The sequence below is a fragment of the Homo sapiens genome, chromosome 1, assembly GCF_000001405.40.
Source record: "Homo sapiens chromosome 1, GRCh38.p14 Primary Assembly".
NCBI classification, from domain to species: domain Eukaryota; kingdom Metazoa; phylum Chordata; class Mammalia; order Primates; family Hominidae; genus Homo; species Homo sapiens.
In genome coordinates this window covers 77,008,345-77,027,697 of record NC_000001.11, presented here as the reverse complement: position 1 = coordinate 77,027,697, position 19,353 = coordinate 77,008,345, and the positions used below count along the sequence as shown (strand labels likewise).

The following is a 19,353-nucleotide window of genomic DNA, read 5'->3' as shown; positions in this document are numbered from 1 at the left end:
GTGAAGGTTGTAATCCCACCTGGCTTCCCATGCCAGAAACCCGGGAGTCACATTAAACCCTCCCTTTCCTTCTCCTCAACAAATCAATCATTAAGTCTTATAACCCTCAATTTCTCTCAACTCTGCGTCTCCCAGTTCCCATTGTGCTCCTCAGTCCAGCCCTCCACCATCTCTGCCCTGAATTACTCCAACTCGGTTATAATGGTGGTTTGTTTGCCAGCATTTCTCAGGAGATTGCAGTCGCCTTGCCTTGGGATGTTGTCTTATTTACAGAGCTTGGCACAGTTTTCAACACACACAGTAAACGCTCAATAAATGGTCACCCCTCTTAAGCTCGCACTTCCAGCAATTGGAAGAGGCCAATGGGAAAGTATACTTCACCCCTGCCCCCTAATGTAGGTGCTCTGAGACTTGGTCATAAGCCCAAGTAGAAGAGAACCTGAACACCTTTCAATTTATCTTTGGTGTAAAGGGCAACATGTGTTTTTGTTGTAAGTGATTAGAAGGCAGGAGATATACCTTTGGGGACTGAGTACATTACAGAACCGTGAAAGGATCCAGAAGCACTGAGCAGTGGAGCTGGCACTGGCACCTGCTGCTTGCTTCTGTCATTAACTTTCGTTGCTTTCTGTCTTTGGAGTGGAGGTGAAGAAACTCTCTTGTCAGCACCACCTCTCCCAGACTCCCATCAACCTGGGGGAGCACCTACACTGGGGAAAACATTCTTGGACTGCTGATGACCCAAACCACTGTGCGCAGTGCCTGCCTTGCTCTTCATCAGTTTGGGGACAAGCCTGTGGGGCAGGAGCCAGAATCCAGGAGTGTGTTCCACAGCACAACACTTGTACCTAACACATTTTCATTCATTCATTCATTCATTCATTCATTCATTCATTCATTCATTCAGAAAGTGTTCTTTAGTGGTCCACTATCTTCCAGGCACCATTCTGCAAGCTAAGGATGCCAGAGACAGCTAATGAGGCTGAATCTCTACTATGAAGGAGGCTATATACAAACTGGGAAGATGGACTGTAAATCAATAAATAAGTAAAACATGTGCAGTGGTTGACACCTGCTGTCCTTTCTCTGCTGACTTTGCAGAGCCCTGCATATTATGCTGCTGCTTGGCACATGGAGCCAAGGCTATGTGTCCCCTCTTCTGGGGGGTTGGTAAGCTTAGCCCTCTGAACCCCTCTCAATGACACCTCCACAAGCCAGTGCCAAAGCTGGAATTACGCCCCTGAGATGAATCAGTCCCAGCTCCACACAAAGACTGACCAGCCAGGATGCATGTGTGTGCCTTTTAGAAGGCAATTTTAAATGCAATTGGCCGTGCTGTGCCCTTATATGGAGACAGCAGGATAGGTGAGAAAGAGGAGGAAATTAACATAAGAGGAGCAGAGGGTTATCCAGAGTGCTTACAGGGTCTGGGCAGGAGGGCTCCCCTGGCTAACAGGCCAGGACTCTCTCCTTAATCATATCTCCCAGGGCTCTTTTTTCCAAAGAAAATGGCAGCAGACAGGTCAAAGATAGCATGCATGACCTTTAAAATAAACCACATAAGTGCCATGGAAGAAAGAGAAGCCCTGGGAGGCGAAGGAACTTGCCCAAGGTCACCCAGTGAGTTACTGCCAAAGCCAAGACTAGAATTCAGGTTAGAACTTACAGTCAGTTCCTCTTCCATTTTGTGGTGCTGCCTCCTAAGAGAAAATCTTGGAGAATAATCTTCTTTCCTGAAATCAGCCTTGGACGAGGCTGGGCCTCCCTATGTATGTGAGCTTTGTGATAGAAGACTGAGCTGACCTGCCTGTGTTCATGTTTCCCACCCGTGGAGGGTGGGTGGGTCTCTGGGGCCTGGCAGCTGGGGCCCTGTAGCTGCAGGGGAGAAGACTGCCTGGAGGAGGGGCAGCAGGAGGGAGGGAGCCTGAGTGGGACTGGATGACCCGGCACAGTGGACGAGGCTGTGAGCCCACTGACCTATGTCTTTCCATTGACCCCCTTCTCTCACTTTCTTCTTCCAAGCATCCTTACCATGTTACCCCCAACTGGTCACCCCACCACAGCCTCCGGGCCACCCAAGGATCCCATGTGGCTACAGATGCACCCCATGTTCCAGACCTTTATTAGTGACATTTTCTGATCAAAATTGATCTACTCTATGATCCATTTTTTTTTTTTTCAAGACAGTCTTGCTCTGTCGCCCAGTCTGGAGTTCAATGGTGTGATCTCGGCTCACTGCAACCTCCACCTTCTGGGTTCAAGTGATTCTCCAGAGTATCTGGAATTACAGGCATCTGCCACCACACCTGGCTAATTTTTGTGTTTTTAGTAAAGAGGGGATTTCACCATGTTAGCCTGGCTGGTCTCAAACTCTTGACCTCAGGTGATCCACCCACCTTGGTCTCCCAAAGTTCTGGAATTACAAGCGTGAGCACACGGGCTCCATGATCCATTTTTAACAGACTATTTCAGGTTCATAGACACAGTTGATTCTCACAAAGTAAATTGTGTCCACGCGTAAGAATGTAAATTCTAAAGCCAAAAGGGATAATGGTGGTGGAATATTAGGTATTTTAAAATTTTTAATAGGATGGCTGGGGAGTGCAAGACTTCAGAATCGATCAGGCTTTCCAGTACCTCTTAATGCCTATTATGTTTATGCCTATACCCAGGACAAAGAGAATCCACAGACAGAGAGAGAGCCTGGAGCGGGGGAAGGATACAGAAGAAGGTAGAAAGGGCAGAGGCAAGAAAGAGGACCTGTCTGGTGAGGGGCTGACTAAGGAAGGTGGGTCACAGCAGATGGAGTTGGGAGAAAGGAAGCTTCTCTAAATCCCTGAACTGACCAGCTGGGGATTCTGGTGCTCTGTGGCTGGTTAGGTCTTGGTTTGCTCCAGAGCAGGACTGTGGACTACTGAATAGCCATGCCATGGTGCCTTCTTAGGCCCAGATCATATCTTGGCTCAGGCTCCACAGGCAGTCCACACTGCCCCTTTGTTCTCTGCAGGGAGCTTCTGGGTCTCACATATCAAAGTCCCTTGCGAAATCCCTAGAATCAGATCCCGCCCTGGAGACCTTCCCTGGCCATCCAGAGCACACAGTGCTAGGCAGAGGTGAGATGCTCCCCAGCCCGCCTGGAGGCACCTGCAATATGAGGCCCGGAGGCTGGAAAAGGGCACAGGCTTTTCAGTGAGCCCCTGGGAGATGCTGTCTCCTGTCCTTGGCCTTCCACGCATCTTATAAGTTCCTGTACCAGTAGCAAGATTCTGAGTACTTGGAGAAGGGGAGGTGATATTAACATGAATCAATTCATTCATTCATTCAAGAAATATCCTGAGAGTCAGCTCTTTCCAAGGACCACCTTAGGTACAGGGAATACAGTGGAGAGTAAAACAGCCCCAGCTGCCCTCACCAACATGCGGTTTGGTGGGGAAGACCAATATTAACCAAAGAATTGCACAAATGCAAAATTACAACTGCAGCCAATGCTATGAAAGAAAAGTACAAGGTCTTACGAGAACATTCTCTGTGGGGAGCACATTGGGTCAGCTGCAGGGTGTTGGAATAAAGCTGTGGTCCTGGCTTCTGGGAAGCTCCCAAGCTTCCAGGCCCACACTGACCAAGCAGCCCTTTCCTCTGCTGCCTGGGGCCTGGTTGCAGCTTGTTATCTGGGCTCTCTCAGATCTGTCTCCTTAACAGTGACCCTTTTATTCATGTGTATATTCTCCAGTAGATATAACTGAGGCTGAATTTTGAAGTTAAAATGTGAAGCAAACCCATGCGGGCTTAATCTGCCAGCATCAGCACAGGACACCTGCTCATGGCACCCCAATGACTACCCCCATCCGGCCCCTTTGAGAAACTGTTCTTCCTGCTTTGTAGCTCACACTCTTCTAGTTGGCGCTACAATGACCCAGTTCTACCAGGCCCCTGTGCTCAGCCTCACCCTTCCCTGTGGTGCTGGATATGATAATAATTTTAAAAAACAATATAATAAAGTGCAACAGATAGAGAAAAAACTGCCCACTCTCAATCTAACTGTGAAGGCTCCTGCCTCCTTCAGTGCCAAGATTTCTGAGCTGTCCGAGATTTCACCTCTGCTCTGACACAGTTCCTTCTTGACTTGTGCCATCCTGCAGTTCTGAGTGGCTCTGGACATTATAGCTCCATGCCGCTTTGTCAGCACAAACCTCCAGTTGCTCTGCCTGCCTCTCAGTGGGAACCCATGCTGGAAGAGCTTCAATGGTGCTTACCGGGTTCCAGTCTCTGCCTGGTGCCGGTGGCCCTGAAACTAAGTCATGGAGAGTATTACAGCTTTATGCCACTGTCACCATGCACAGAGCTGTACCTAGGGATGTGCAAGGGGGTTTTAGTTTGTTATATGGAAAAATGAGTTTCTATTATATGCAGGAGAAATCCCCAATGTATTAGTTTGCTAGGCTGCCATAACAAAATACCACTGGTTGCGTGGCTTAAATAACAGAATCCCTCCCCGCAACAGTTCCAGAGGCTGAAGTCCAAGATCAAGGTGTTGGCAGATTGGGTTTCTTCTGAGTCCTCTTCCCTTGGCTTGCAGGGGCCTGCCTTCTCACTGTGTCCTCACATGGTCCCTTGGCCTGTGTTTTCAGTGTCCCAACCTCTTCTCATAAGAACACCAGTCATATTGAATTAGGGCCTCTCTAAAGGTCTCATTTCAACTTAATTACCTCCTTAAGTACGTCCTGCATCTTCAAATACAGTCACAGTCTGAAGTAATGGGAATTAGGACTTCCACGTACAAATTTGGGGAGACACAATGTGGCCCATGACACCAAATTTGCCAAGAAATATATATCCATAAAGAACACAGATGGTAGAGGAAGAAAGACAGGAGGGGTCTGAGATGTCACTTCTCCTAAAAGGGCCAATACAAAAAAGTATCCCATTTTCAGAGGTGAGAACAAAATTGGGAATGAAATCTCGCAATTCCAGAAAACCCAAGTTTTTAAATATTTACTTTTTCACAATGGATATAACTGGGTCTGAATTTTTAAGTTAAAATGCAAAACAAACCCAGTTTCTTAATGCTTAAACTTTACTGGTCCATAGTGTGACCTTACTGAGGTATAAGAGACCACAGCATCCTCCTTTGAGTTTCCTATAAACTAATAATCAAATCATTAATCTAGCCTAGGTTGCTTTAAAGTTTTGAGTCCCATGATTCCCTCTATTTTCTGGACACAAGCCTTCATTTAAAGGACACACTGAATCTAATATTGTTGTAAGCAAATACTGCATTATATTGGCTTTCTTGGCTGGCATATTTTAGGGGTACAAACTTCAAATGAGAAATTAAAACTTTTCACAAAATACTTTCTTGGGTCTGGAAAGGTAAAATTTCAATGCCAAAGCATGTGTTAAACTGGAAGGGTAATATCCTGTGTCTATAAATTTCTTGGGGTCTCAGTTTTGCTAGGAAAGGTGCAGGTATATTATAAAGCAAGGTTTCTGCTTCAGAGAGGTGTTCGCAACCTCCTTAATTTTCTGCTTTTATGGATTCAATGGCAAGTGAAAGCTTTCATTAGAATAATTAAAACACTACTCTCCTGCAGAAGAGAGAAATGATTCATGCTGGGCTTCTAGGAACTGGCCACTTCCCAGATAGCACTTCCCTAGATGTGCATTTTGTTGGCTGGGGGAAAAAAGACAAACGGGGGGCGCAGCACAGACTGCTGAATGGCATGACAGCATCTGTGTATGAAAGGCATTTCTGTTCTTATTAGGAGGTGTGATTACATGGCTCTCAAATTTCCCCTTAAGCCTCCTGAGATGTGTGTGAGGTGCAACCTTGTAAATTGTCAGCACATAGAAAGCTAAGATTTAGAGAGTGGTTTTCCAATGTGCATCCTATAAAATGTGTCCCATGAGGAAGATTAGTATCAATCACAGGCTTATTGGAGAGGGAGATGGGATCCAATGATAACCTAGCACTATCAACTAGAGTAATGGTCTAAGAAGAAAAAGCAATCAGAGAGGAGAAAGGAATATCCACAAAGAAAGACAGAAGTAGAAAGTCAGAGTGCAATGTATCATATTGATGAACAGGAGCTGTTATCCAGGACAAAGGCTCATGTGAACAATGCAGGTTCTCACACAATTGGATATTGCCTATTGCTTATCTTAAGGTGGATGGGAGGAGACACACACATATCACATCAAGTCATCAAGCATCCTGACTTGAAGTATGGCGGCAACAAAATATAATGAAGTCATTAATACTCAGGAGTCTTACCTGTACTATTTGGGAATCATTTGCTAATTCCAGAGGGTTCTATAAGAGGAACCACATTCTAGTTTCACAGAGAACTTCATCTTGGAAACAATAAAAGCAACATACCCCCTGCCCCCAACCAATTTGGTTTCTTGGATTCTGGTAGAATTATTCAAGTCATTATTCCTCAGGATGTGAGTTTACAAGCAGGGGATGGAAGAAAGGTTTGAATACTTTTTTAAAAAGAGACTGGTTTGACTACTTTTTTAAAAAAGACTGATTTGAAGTTTTTCATCTCCTCAAATTCTTTGACACTTCCCCATCAAGAGGTAGAATCTAGTTTCACTTGCCCTAAATATGGGCTCACCTTAGTGTCTCACCTGCGAAGAACAGAATGCAGTGGAAAGTGTCACTGTGTGGCTTCTGTGGCTAGATTAGAATTGGTGATGTGGCTTCTGCCTGGCTCTCTGTCTTGGGATACTTGATGCTGCAAACCAGCAGCCATGCTGTGCGGAACCCCGGGTAACAACAAGAGGACATCTGTAGGTGTTCCTGCCTATAGCTCCTGCTGAGGTGCAAGCCACCAGCCAGCATCAGCCCCCAGAGGTGTAACGGAGCCTTTAATGATTCCAGCCTCAGCCTCCATCTAACTGCAAATTTCAGAATTCTGAGAGATAATAATAATGAACAATTACCAAGTGTGGGGTAGTTTGTTACTAGGTGCATTCAGTAAGAGGCATGGCATAAGGCCGGGCACAGTGGCTCAGGCCTGTAATCCCAGCACTTTGGGAGGCTGAGGTGGGCAGATTTCTTGAGTCCAGGAGCTCAAGACCAGCCTGGGCAACATGGCAAGACCTCATCTCTAAAAGAAATACAAAAATTAGAGGAGTGTGGTGGTGCACACCTATGGTCCCAGCTACTTGGGGAGCTGAGGTGGGATGATCGCTTGAGCTTGGGAGGTGCAGGTTGCAGTGAGCTGAGACTGTGCCACTGTACTCCAGCCTGGGTGACAAAGTGAGATCCTGTATCCCCACACTCCCCAACAAACAAACAAACAACAAAGGAAACAAAAGCATGGCATAAGCTTCATTCTCCCTACGCCCCAAATGCTAGCTCTCCAATGAGAAGGAAGCTAAAAATACTTTGGACTGCCTAACGAGTGCAAGACCCCAGTCTCAAATGTGTCTTAGAACCACATTCTCGGCACTTAAAAAATGTCAATTACACAAGAATCCCCTCAAAAGCATGCTTGTTATCTTCATATACCTCATAAAGAGGCTCCACAGTTAAAAAAGCATGCCCAATTTACAGCTCAGAATGATTGCTGAAGACTTTGCTTAGTGTTATTAGCACAATTAGTTTTCTTTGTCATCAGAATAACATGGGTGCTTGGCTCAATTCTTTACATTATTTTTATAATAAAAAACCAGTCTGACAGGTTTTCATGTAAAATATGTTCTGGATCTTTTGCTAAAGTAGTGTGTTGGCAATGTGGCTGTGTATCTGGAGTTTGATTCCAAGGGCTTTTGATTTTCAGGGCAGTTTAAAGTATAAGATAGGAATTTGGGGGTTAGAAATGAACCATCAGACAGACACTCCTACATTTCCATAACTAGGAACAAAACATCAGTATTTAAATGTGACAAAGCACATTTTTGAAGACATGTGCCAGAGTGGCAGGCACACCCAAGGTGAGTTTTCTAGCAGAAAGAGCTAACCGCCTAAACACTTCAATTGCAACTGGGCAAGAACTTGCAGAAACCCTTCTGCTACTCATATCAGCATGAACAAAGGACTCAGGCCTGACTATTCCACAAAGCTGGGCTAATTATAAATTCTGTGCAGAAGTTCCTCCAGGCCAGCCTTTGGAATTAACTTGAAGTGGAGAATGAGATGATGCTCCAGATAGTTTGGGGAACTTTTTGGAGGAATTGCCTGCATGAACTGCTTTGAGCTCTCCACTTCCCTTCAGCAATGAAGATGCAGGCTCCCGTGGTGAGAATGCATGAGATTTTGCGAGTCTCACACCACAATATGATGAGAACAGAACACAGTGATGAAAACAAATCTGGCACTGAAGGGCTTTCTCTTGCCCAATGTCACCTGTTCTACCAGGCACTTCCACAGTGATGACAAAGTGCACTGCCCTGCAATTTCCCTCAGCTGGCAGAAGGGAGCCTCCTTTTTGTTTCATATATTCTATCTAGAGAGAAGATGTGTTTTCAGTGTTCCATACCAGCAAGCAGTGGTAAGTATTTAATCCCTCTGCCTGCAACAAATGACCTTTGGGAAGATCCAGGGGTATCTCCCCCCTGCCCTGGCATCTAAAGCATATGATTTCTCTACAGTAGAACAGTTTAAGCAAGATAGAATCTTTTTCCCTTCCAAAGCTCAGGGGAATTGATATCATTTCACTGCTTCCTCTAGAGGCTTCAAGGAAGTGATCTGTTCAGTCAGCTAGGAGCTGGGCTGAAGCCATCTGAGTCCCTTCTCAGCCCCTGTCTCTGACTCCCTTGTGAAATGCCATTTGCATCTGTTAAGTGGCTTCCTTGCTTTTCCTGCTTAACAGGATGGTTTTGCAACTCCTAGCAGTTCAGTAAGAAACAAGATATTTAAGAATGATAGTGGACTAATAACAATAATCACCACCATTTATTGAACGCTTATAATGTACCTGACATCCCTTATGTAGAGCTCACTAATCCTCAAAACTTGTGGCAGTTACTTCATTCTTCTCAATGACAGGTCGGAAAACTGAGGCTTTAAAGAGGTTAAATTACTTTTTCAAGGACATTCACTGTGTGGCAGACGCAGGATTTAAACTGAGGCCAGATTCCCAGAGCCCAACTGGTGTAGCACATGTTTCAGCCTCTTGGGAGTGATTAGGATCAATGGCTGTGGAGTCAGTGCTGGGTGATCTGCCTCCTCCTGGCTGTGTGGATTTGCACAAATGGCTTTTCCATTTCTCAGCCCCAGTTCTCCTATCTGCAAGATGTGTACAGTAACAGTTCTCTAGAAACCTATCACTTGGGGTTGTTGTGAGGAATATGAATGTTTGTACCTGGCACAGTGCCTCGTGCATGGTGAGTACTCAGAAGATGCCTGTGCTGCTAGGATTCTGAGTTTCTAACTGTTGTTAAGATTCTTAACTGTTGGTAGGAAGTTGACTTATGATCTATAAAGACTTAGAAGCAAAAATGGGGGTATCGTGATGGTGAGAAGATGAAGGTGCACCAGAATTTTTCTAAAGGGTGGCTCTTTCTAGAACTCTCCTTCCTGCTTTCTTTTTTCTTTATTTTGTGAACCCCTGATACAGTCTTCTTCTTCTTGCCTGAAGTTGCCTAATGGAAGAGAACTCCATCATTCAGAATGAAACATAAACTGCTCAGCGCCAATGAAGGATCTCTGATGGATTTCAGTGTGGGTCTAGGGCTGTCACCAAGGTTAAGGTTAGAAGAGAGCCTAGATGGACTGTGAATTGAATCTTTGGCTCTCCAGATGAAGAAACTGAGGCAGGGCTAATGAAGCCCTTGTCTGTGGACATCCTGAGTAATTCTCATCCCACGTGTAGTGTTCTTTCCATTGTACTATATTATGTCTCTTTACATATTATCTCTGTAATATGACCTCCATATTCTGAAGACTTGTATTTAATATTTAATACCAAATCCCTATCTCACATTCATTCTTTCTCATACTATTGAGACTTACAAAATCCTACGTAAGAACTTTTAATAATATTCAGCAAACCATTACTTTTCCTTCTACAACATAAGGACACAAACCTTATTAGTAACGTGTCAACAGCACTGCAACATTTCAAAATGAGGAGCTTTGTCATTTAAACACATAAAGATAAAACCTAGAATCCTTTGGCCTCCCTTGAAAACTCAGAGGACCTGGATCCCTGGGTCCCTCTTGCTTGTGATGACAGTCATGCAGAGCGGAGCAGCAGCCCTGACGTGCAGAGAGGCCATGCTCCCGTGCCCTTGACCCTCACCCATGCCAGCCTTGCCCATGGAGAGCTCCTTCCTGGTTCCCCTAGGCATTTGTATTTGCACCCCCTAAAATCATACCAGTTGGAGAGCTACCAATTCTACTCTCCAGTGAACAGAGAGTAAGACTGTCTGTCATCTTAATATCTTGTGGAAACATCCCCTGTTCTACTTCATTGACATTCCGATGCTGAAGAATAGAAATTGATGTCAGATGCACTCACTAGAAGTGTCCCCCAGTGTTTACTGCTTGAGAAGGAAGGGAAAGATACTGTGTCTTTACCTTTTTTTTTTTTTTTTTTGCCTTTTCCTGATTACAGAGTCTGAAACACAAGCTTGGACTGGCTTTTTTCTCCCTTCATGCTCACCAACTCAGAAATATTACGAGAAAGCCCAGTCTCATTCCCCTGCCCCCTCTCTTTTGGTTCAATGATTGTACCCGAACTTGGAGCACATAATGCACCATTCATGCCATTGTTAATTTCCCTTCCTTTTAAATTGCTCATGTCACTCAGAAAAAAGAGGTCTTAATAATGGGGCTTATCACATCATTTCTCAAATAATTAGGAGTACATTACTTTCACCCAATTAAAAAGGGAAGATTGAAGAAGTTGTTGAAGATTCTAATTTCAGTGCAGTGTCCCTTTCCCCTTTTGTGGATGTAGGACTGTTGAAAGGCTTGAGAACCATGTTATTTTCTCCAACATGAAACAATTCTAAAAAGAAAAAGATGTCATTTAAAAGGGTGTGCATCCCAGTGAGTTTTTTGAGTGACATACAAAGAGGCCAAGTCAGCGTTCAGTTTACACAATGAAAGCAGCTGGGACAGAGAGCCTGGCCTTAAATCCCAGCTCCATCTCTAATTAGCACCAAGTGACTTTGATCAGATCACTTAGCCCATATGGCCTTCTTTCAGGGGGCAGGGGGTTGGGGGATGTTTGAGTGTGCAATGACCATTGTGCACTTTGTAGAAAAGGCATTACCTCCAGAAGTGCTTGACAGTGACCGAAAGGAAAATTTCAAAATAGCACACATACTCCATAAATATGTGTAATTATTATGTATCAATAAAAAATAAATAACTATTTTTTCCGTCTAGCAAGAATGAGGAGGAGTGGAGAAAGAGGAGGAAGAGTTTCAGGAGGAGGAGGGGGAGGAGATACAGGAGGATGAGGGGGAGGAGATACAGGAGGAGGAGGGGGAGGAGATACAGGAGGAGGAGGGGGAGGAGATACAGGAGGAGGAGGGGGAGGAGATACAGGAGGAGGAGGGGGAGGACAGGAGGAGGAGGAGGGGAAGATACAGGAGGGGAGGGAGGAGATACAGGAGGAGGAGAGGGAGGAGATACAGGAGCATGAGGGGGAGGAGTGGAGAAGGAGGGGATGTGGGGGTAGATGAAGGAGATTTGAGGGGAAGAGGAGGAGGAGGTGGAGGAGGGTGAATTTGGCTAGAGCTGAAACTGAGCCCCCTGCCTTTCAGGATGCTGGGATCAGAGGCCTGGCTCTGAGGAGAAAGCTACTTACAAGCTCACACACGCCTCCCCGAACAGGCCCCTGGGTCTCTCCAGCCCACCTCTCTCCCCTTTTCCTCCTTGTATTTTGGCCTCTAACCTTTTGCCTGTGAAGCCCTGTCTTGCCTCTGGGGCTTTGTATATGCTGTTCCCTCTGCCTGAAAAGCCTTCTCCACCTGGTTCACTCCTGCTTGTTCTTGATGCCTTATGTCATTTCCTCAGCACAGACCTTGCTGGACCCTCTGCCACCCCAAAATTGAGGCAGGTGCCCCTCCTCTGAACCCCCAAAGCACTTCCACTTCAACCGCTTCAGCTCTGTCCACCTTGTATCATTTTTGCCTGCATTCAGGTCTGTCTCCTCCACTAGACTACTAGCTCTTCATTTTAATTAAAACAATTAGAACAATTTTTATTGATACATAATATATGTACATATTTATGGGTGGACTGTGAGCCCTGTGAGGACTGAGCTACAGGGTTCACAGAGTAAGCATTACTTCTGGTGTGTCTTGAGGGTGTTTCTGGATGAGACTAGCATTTGAGTTGGTGGACTCAGTAAAGTAGCTGGTCCTACCCAGTGTGGTTGGCATTATCAGATCCATTGAGGGCCTGAACAGGACAAAAGGTTAAGGAAAGGATTAACAACCTGTTTTTCTGCCTCAGTGCTTAAATTAGGACATCTCATCTCATCTCCTCCTGCTTTTGGACTGGGATTTATATCATCAGCTCCCCTGGGTCTCAGGTTGGACTGATTTACCCTACTGGCTTTCCTGAGTCCCCAGCTTGCAATCTGCTGATCATGGGATGTCTTGGCCTCCGTAATTGCATAAGCCAACTTCTCATAATAAAGCTCCATGTGTGTGTGTGTGTGTGTGTGTGTGTGTGTGTGTGTTTGTGTGCGAGTGTCCTATTGTTTCTGTTTCTCTGGAGAATTCCGACTAATACCGAGTAAGCTCAGTGCTTAATATTGTGCTTAGCACATGGCAAGTTCTCAATAAATATTTGTTAAGGAAGTCATTCAAATTTCTAAACCTTAGTTTTCTCTGCTACAAAATACAGTTTTTAAAATCCTACTCTTTCCACTTTGCAAATCCTTGTGAGGAAAAAGTGATCATTTTTTTCATATGGCCACATTTCCCAGAAAATTCCATTCTGATTATTGTCTAGTGGTTCATCTCAAGTACCAGAGGCTTTTATCAGGTCCCAGTGTGCAAGAAAAAAGGCCAGTTGGCTTGGGAGAACAAAGCAGGTGAGGAAGCTTATGTGGAAATCCGAGTCTGTGTCTCTGCTTTCTTCATGATCTGTTGGCCTACCAGTGGGGCTCTACTGACCTGGGCCGGTGATTGGTTTCAGAAGCTGCCAATCAATGTGGACAAGCACACATTCCATTTTGCATCTTCTGAGAGGGTGGTAGTTACTGTCATAAAATTCACTGCTTGGATCATTCTAAGCCTTTTCCTGGGCAGGGCCTGGGTGGGGGGACCTTCCTTTTTACATCCTTTATTCATAATTTTTCAGAAGAGCTACACTTAATCTGCCATTGCCTCCTGCTAATTGTCTGTAAATCACCCATGTATGAAGTTCCACATGCCTATCCGCCAGCATAAAGTTGAAGAGCCCCACACAGTCAAAGGCCCTGATGGGGAATCCTGTCACTTGGCTGACGGAATGGTAATAGATGTGGAAGTAAGTGATGCATAATGGATCATGGGATTTAAAATCCAGCCTCCACATCTGAGCTGCCGAAAAGGTTAGAGGAAAAGGTTAGAGGATTATGTGGCTGCAACATATCAATTATGAAATAGAAAACACTCTCCCTTCCCCTTCCATCTCAGAAGGTGGTAAACATTTTATACTGATTCCCTCTGTAAGTGCAAAATTCTCTTGCTTTTATGGATGAGGCTGGGGTTTAAGTAAATGGAAGGGATAGGGAAACATGGTCCTAAGAATGGCAGGCAATGATCCTTTACTTATGACTTTACCCACAATTTGGCTTTACAATTGATGGGAAATGAAGTGTGATCAATTTCAGCAAACTGTGCATCATTTCCCATTGACTGACCTGCCAAATCGTTGATTGAATAATTAGTTAAAGTTCAGTCTGAGCAGCTACTTTAAACAGCCCTCTCCAAGACAAGTCTTAATGGCATCCCAGAAAGGCCATCCGACTTCCAGGAGCTGGGACATTAATTGTTTATCCTTTCACTTAAGGTGGTGAGCCCCCGTGTCAATGCAAATAAATATAATAGTCTCTCAGGGATCAATAGCTGCTGGGAGTGGGGCCTTGAGGCAAGTGCTTAGAAATACACAATGTAGCGTTAGGATTTAGGGATGGCTTCTCCTCACACTGGGGATGAAATGCATCCAGAGAAAATATGAGACTAGGAGAAAACAAATCGTAACATGACTGCAGGTTAGGAGAGGATGGTTTTCAGTGATTAAGACAGACAGCAACAGTTGGGTGAGAAAGCTCATAATAAAGACGATACGTAAAATCAAACAACAACCTCCTGGCCAAAACTCAGAAAGCCTTTAGCCCCATGCCTGATTACTTGAGAAGTATCAGCCCCTTTCCTTGACAATTCTAACTTCACAAACGAGGCTGAATGGCTTTTCATGCCTTCCATTGTCCAGGTGAATATTAGCATGAAATTGTGCATAGAATCACAGAGTAGGCTTCAGAAACAGAGTCTGACTTCATATTGAGACCTAGACCCTGGCTTGGGATTCTTGAGGTTGTAGAGCTGGGTGTGGAGATTCCACCAAAAGAGGACATGAGTTGGGGGACCAGCTGGCTAGTTCTGGTTGCTCACCGTGCACCCGCAGGACTGTGGGGTGCCCTTGCCTTCTGTCCTCTTGTGCACACACTGCTCCTTCTGCCAGGGAGGTCTTTGCATATCAGCCTGGGTAACTGCAACTACTTTGTGACATAATGCAAAGCCTCCTTCTTTGGGGGCTTTTTTGCACTTGACTTTCCCAACCCTTAAGAAGTTTAAAGTGCCCTTGCCTGATAGACCATAGGAATTCTCAAACATGTCTATGGAAACACCACATTAAGCTGTTGCTGGTTTTGCTGTCTGTCTCCACCACTCAGTTGTAAGATTCTTGGGAACGAACCATTTTTTTCTTCATTCCTGTATCCCCTAGAGTACTGCCTAATTCAGCCAAAGCACCCAATAAATGTTTATGAATGAATAAATTAATCCAAAGTTCTATTATAAATCCCTTTTCTAATTCACCCATAATCTTCTTTAACTTCAGCTAAAAAGCATCTAGAAAAGTTTGTCATAAAAATCTCTTCCTTGGTTCACAAAGGCCAAGGCCTCTCCCACCAAGAGAAGGATCAGTCGATCCAATTAGGACCTGTCTTTCCCTGTCAGTGCAGAATACATAGTGAAGCTTTCTAGCTTTCAAGTGGAGATTTGAGGAATCTGCTTGCATTTCGTGTCCCCTACTATCCCTAGGTTTTTTCTGGCGTTCAGAGGCAGACTTCCTCCCACTCCCAGGTTGGGTGAAGCCAAGATCTACTTCATATTAGTGCTTTTCCTTATTTCCGGAGCAAGGAGTAACCTGGAATTCCTGTGGATTCCATACTCATGTCAGCAACTGACTGCTGGGGTTCTGCAAAGTCTATTTTTCTATTGGCTGGGACATTATTCCACTGAGTATGTTCCTGGCCACAAACAGATGGTCTAATTTACTTAAGGCTTAAAAAACTCTTAAACATTATTTCTGCAGAGAAGGCATCTTTCTTTCCCTTCCCACAGACTTCTTATATCTCTCTGTTTCCTAGTGATGCAACTCTCTCTAATCAAATTTTGTAAAGCTTCAGGCCACTTGGATCAGCACAGTGTGGTAGTTAAAAGTCTCAGACCTAAGAATCGCCAGGTCTGGGTATAAATTCAAGCTCCACCACTTGACCGCTATGGAACCTTGGGCAAATCATTTAGCTTCTTTGTGCCTGTCTTTTCTCATCTGTAAAATGATGTTACTAATACCACCTCCTTCAAAAAGTCATTGTGAAGATTAATTGCGATAATGTATGTAAAAGCATTCAGAACAATATCTTGTATATAATAAGTAGTACTTACATACAGTTACTATATTATTATCATTATCACTATATTACAAAATAAAAATGTTACTATCAAAATGATTATATTGTATTACAATAGAACAATATCTTGTATATAAGTACTTATATGCAGTTACTGTATTATCATTATCACTATATTATAAAATAAAAATATTACTAACAAAATAATTATGTTGTACTACATACTACATATACAAAATATAAAAACAAAATTATTTTATATACAAAATGAATATCAAATATCATTACAGATAAAATAAAAATAAAACAAGTTCAATTAGTCTAAAGTATAACCTTGTAAAGTACCAATGGGAGATTGTGCTCAAGGACTGTAATTCCCAAACCTTGTCATGCTCTTGAATCACTTGGGATATATGTTAAAAAACAAAAATAACTGGGCTACATACCCAGGGAATATCTCTAATGGCTTTTCTGTCCCCTAGCAGCAAATGAGCACTCGATGACTCCAGGGGTTAAGATGGTGCTGCCTTCAGCAATCACATTTTTAAATCCCCAATTCTCCACTCCAGTTTGAATGTGTTGGTGACTTTGTACAGGCCCGAGGCACCAAGGCACGTAAAACAAGACCGTTTCTACATATCTGAATGCTGCTTGGGGAGGCAGTGTTTCTCACGGCCAAAAGCTCTCATTAGCCTCATCGTCATTGTCCTACTGAGTGCCGCTCTCATGTTACTGCTTCTGTTGTGGCAGACCTTGGAAAAGGCTGAAGCTTACTCCCAGCAAGGGGTCATCTACTTGCCAGAGTCTGCCAGAATATTCTGTCCCCTGCTTTTCAGAGGCCAACAGCAGAACCTCAGACTTCAAGGAAAAGGATCAACGGTTTTAGTCAGTACCCAAACGGCAGGGGATGAAGACATTTCTGCCTCTTGAGGGTCTCCAACATCTGAATGACATGTAGATTTCTCTGGGAAGATAGAAGCAGCTCAACTTTCCTTTCAAATATCATTTTCAGGAGAACTGGTGAATTTAGTCAATTTGTCCCCAGGCTGCAGCTGCTTTTAGAAATAGTCTAAGAAATTCCATTTCCAAACTAATTAGAGCACAATCCTTAAGATCTTTAAGGAGAGGAGTGGTGCAGTGTGTTTAGTCCAGAGTGTTGGGGTGTCCTGGAGCCACAGGGTCAAACGATTGTCAGACATAGCGCCTCCTGGCCTCCTAGAGTTGGAGAACCTGTGCCACAGATTTAGATGGACAGTGTCGCAGGCTGAGAGGGACTACTCCAAGGAAGAACACGTCTCAGAGCTTCCCAGAGCTGCCAAGGGTCACTGCTTGGAAGTGTGTACCCCAACAGTACGAGGCAAGGTTATTTTTATTTTTATTTTTATTTTTTTGAGACAGAGTCTTGCTCTGTCGCCCAGGCTGGAGTGCAGTGGCACGATCTTGGTTCACTGCAACCTCTGTCTCCCAGGCTCAAGCAATTCTCCTGCCTCAGCCCCCTGAGTAGGTGAGATTACAAGTGTGTGCCATCACACCTGGCTAATTTTTGTATTTTTAGTAGAGATGGGGTTTCACCATGTTGGTCAGGCTGGTCTCGACCACCTTACCTCAGGTAATCTGCCCGCCTCGGCCTCCCAATGTGCTGGGATTACAGGTGTGAACCACTGCCCGGCCCAAGGTTGTTATTTTTAAATCAATGACCATCTGCCCTATCACTGAGTTAACACTTATTGATCACTGATTGTGCTCCAAGCCCTGTGTTAGGGCCTGGATAAGACAGACACAGTAAATCATACCAGAAGGGCTGGTGGAAAGTTCTCTGGACACAAAACCCTGTGTCTATAGTGCTGTCACTTCATGGATGGTCACTGGTAAAAATGCCCAAGGACTCTGCTCCAAAGACTTTCAGAGAAACATTTTAATGTGGTTATTGCCACTAGGCTGACAACTTCATTCAATTTTTCTAGCTCCAGTCTAGAAATTGGAAAGAATAGCAAATGGGAAAGGATCAAGGTCACTCTATTAAAAAAAAGTATTTTAGTATTTTCCATAAAAGAGGAAATTGGCAATTTGGCCTAAGAAAATACTCTAAGACTGGTAAGAAAGCTGAAGACACTTCAATTTCCACAGTGATAGAATTATGATTTCCTCAGGGGGAGAAAGATCGCCTATAACAAGGTAGGAGGTGAGACAAAGCGCAAGGAGAGAAATACAGCCCCAGAAGGAAATAAATCCAAGAAGGCAGATCAGCTTCTTGTCACATGGGGGAGGACAGGAAGATGGGATTTTTCCACCTTGTGTTATAGTTGATGTCGCTCATGTAACTCAGCTGAAAAGTTTGCCTTTCACTCTCCTTCATTTCCCCTTTGGATCCCTCTCCTACCCGTAATTTCTTTATCTCTGTGCTCTCCCCAACACCAAAGCCTTGCAATTTCCCCTGCCTACCTGGGCACAATTCACCCTCTCCCTGCGTGCCATGTTTATAGTGAAATTATACAACTTACATGGCTCCTATACCCATGAACAAAAATTCTCTCTCTCTTCTCCTCTTACCTCATGAAACTCCTGTTCCCATCCACCAAAATCTACTCTCAACCAAACTCTCACTGGGCCCAGCTAAGTCCAAAGAGGAAAATACAAGATTCAATCAATTTACAGCTTGGTAGTTGGCTCGTCCATAAAGTCTGGTGGAAAGTTACACAGGAGATATTCTGGGGCTCTCTAACACCTCTAAAATCATTCCAGGTAAGGTGCTAGTGTGTGAAGTGCTAGTTTTTATTGTTGTGGTGGTGGTGGATGGGCTGCTTCTATGGTTCAGTGTTACAGAAAAGTTGCTCAAATAGTGGCCAAGAGCCCAAGTAGGAATTCCTGACTGGCTACACACAAATGGCAAATCAGTTTCATAAATGTCTTTTTCTCAGCTAGGATTGGTGCTAGGGTGGTTCAAAGAGTAACTCCCCTGTAGTTCAGATTCTGGCACTGTGGGCCAGGCCAAAGGCATCAGTTTGTGGTGATGTAACTGTAGATCAGAACAGCATTTATTAAGATAACAGCCTTTAGGCCAGGGATGGTGGCTCACGCCTGTAATCCCAGCACTTTGGTAGGCTGAGGCGGGTGGATCATCTGAGGTCAGGAGTTCAAGACCAGCCTGACCAACATGGTGAAACCCAGTCTCTACTCAAAATACAAAAATTAACCGGGTGTGGTGGCGGGCACCTGTAATCCCAGCTACTCCGGAGGCTGGGGCAGGAGAATTGCTTGAACCCAGGAGGCAGAGGCTGCAGTGAGCCGAGATTGAGCCACTGCACTCCAGCCTAGGAGGCAGAGTGAGACTCCATCTAAAAAAATAAAAAAAAGATAACAGCCTTTAGCTAACATTTTTAATCAAGTGTCCACTGCAGGCACTATGCTACAAGCTTTGCATGCTTTCTGTTAGTGCTGCCAGTTTTATGGGGCAGATAGTGTTATTATCCCATTTTATAGATAAAGAAACTGAGACTCAGAGAGGTTAAGTCATTTGCCCAAGGTCCAAGCTAGTAACGGA

General features: G+C 44.4%; 1 protein-coding gene across 3 annotated transcripts in view, besides 1 other annotated feature; it reads right to left on the bottom strand.

Moving 5' to 3' along the window:
* The window catches only part of ST6GALNAC5 (ST6 N-acetylgalactosaminide alpha-2,6-sialyltransferase 5), a 200,067-nt gene that overhangs the window by 39,849 nt on the left and 140,865 nt on the right, over window positions 1-19,353 (bottom strand). The window lies entirely within an intron of this gene.
* Window positions 3,069-3,569: an enhancer, noted in NCBI's record as "NANOG-H3K4me1 hESC enhancer chr1:77489814-77490314 (GRCh37/hg19 assembly coordinates)". NCBI's record gives its function as "activates a minimal SCP1, AML or CMV promoter by ChIP-STARR-seq in primed H9 embryonic stem cells {active_cell/tissue: H9 hESC(primed)}" and the evidence as "EXISTENCE:reporter gene assay evidence [ECO:0000049][PMID:30033119]".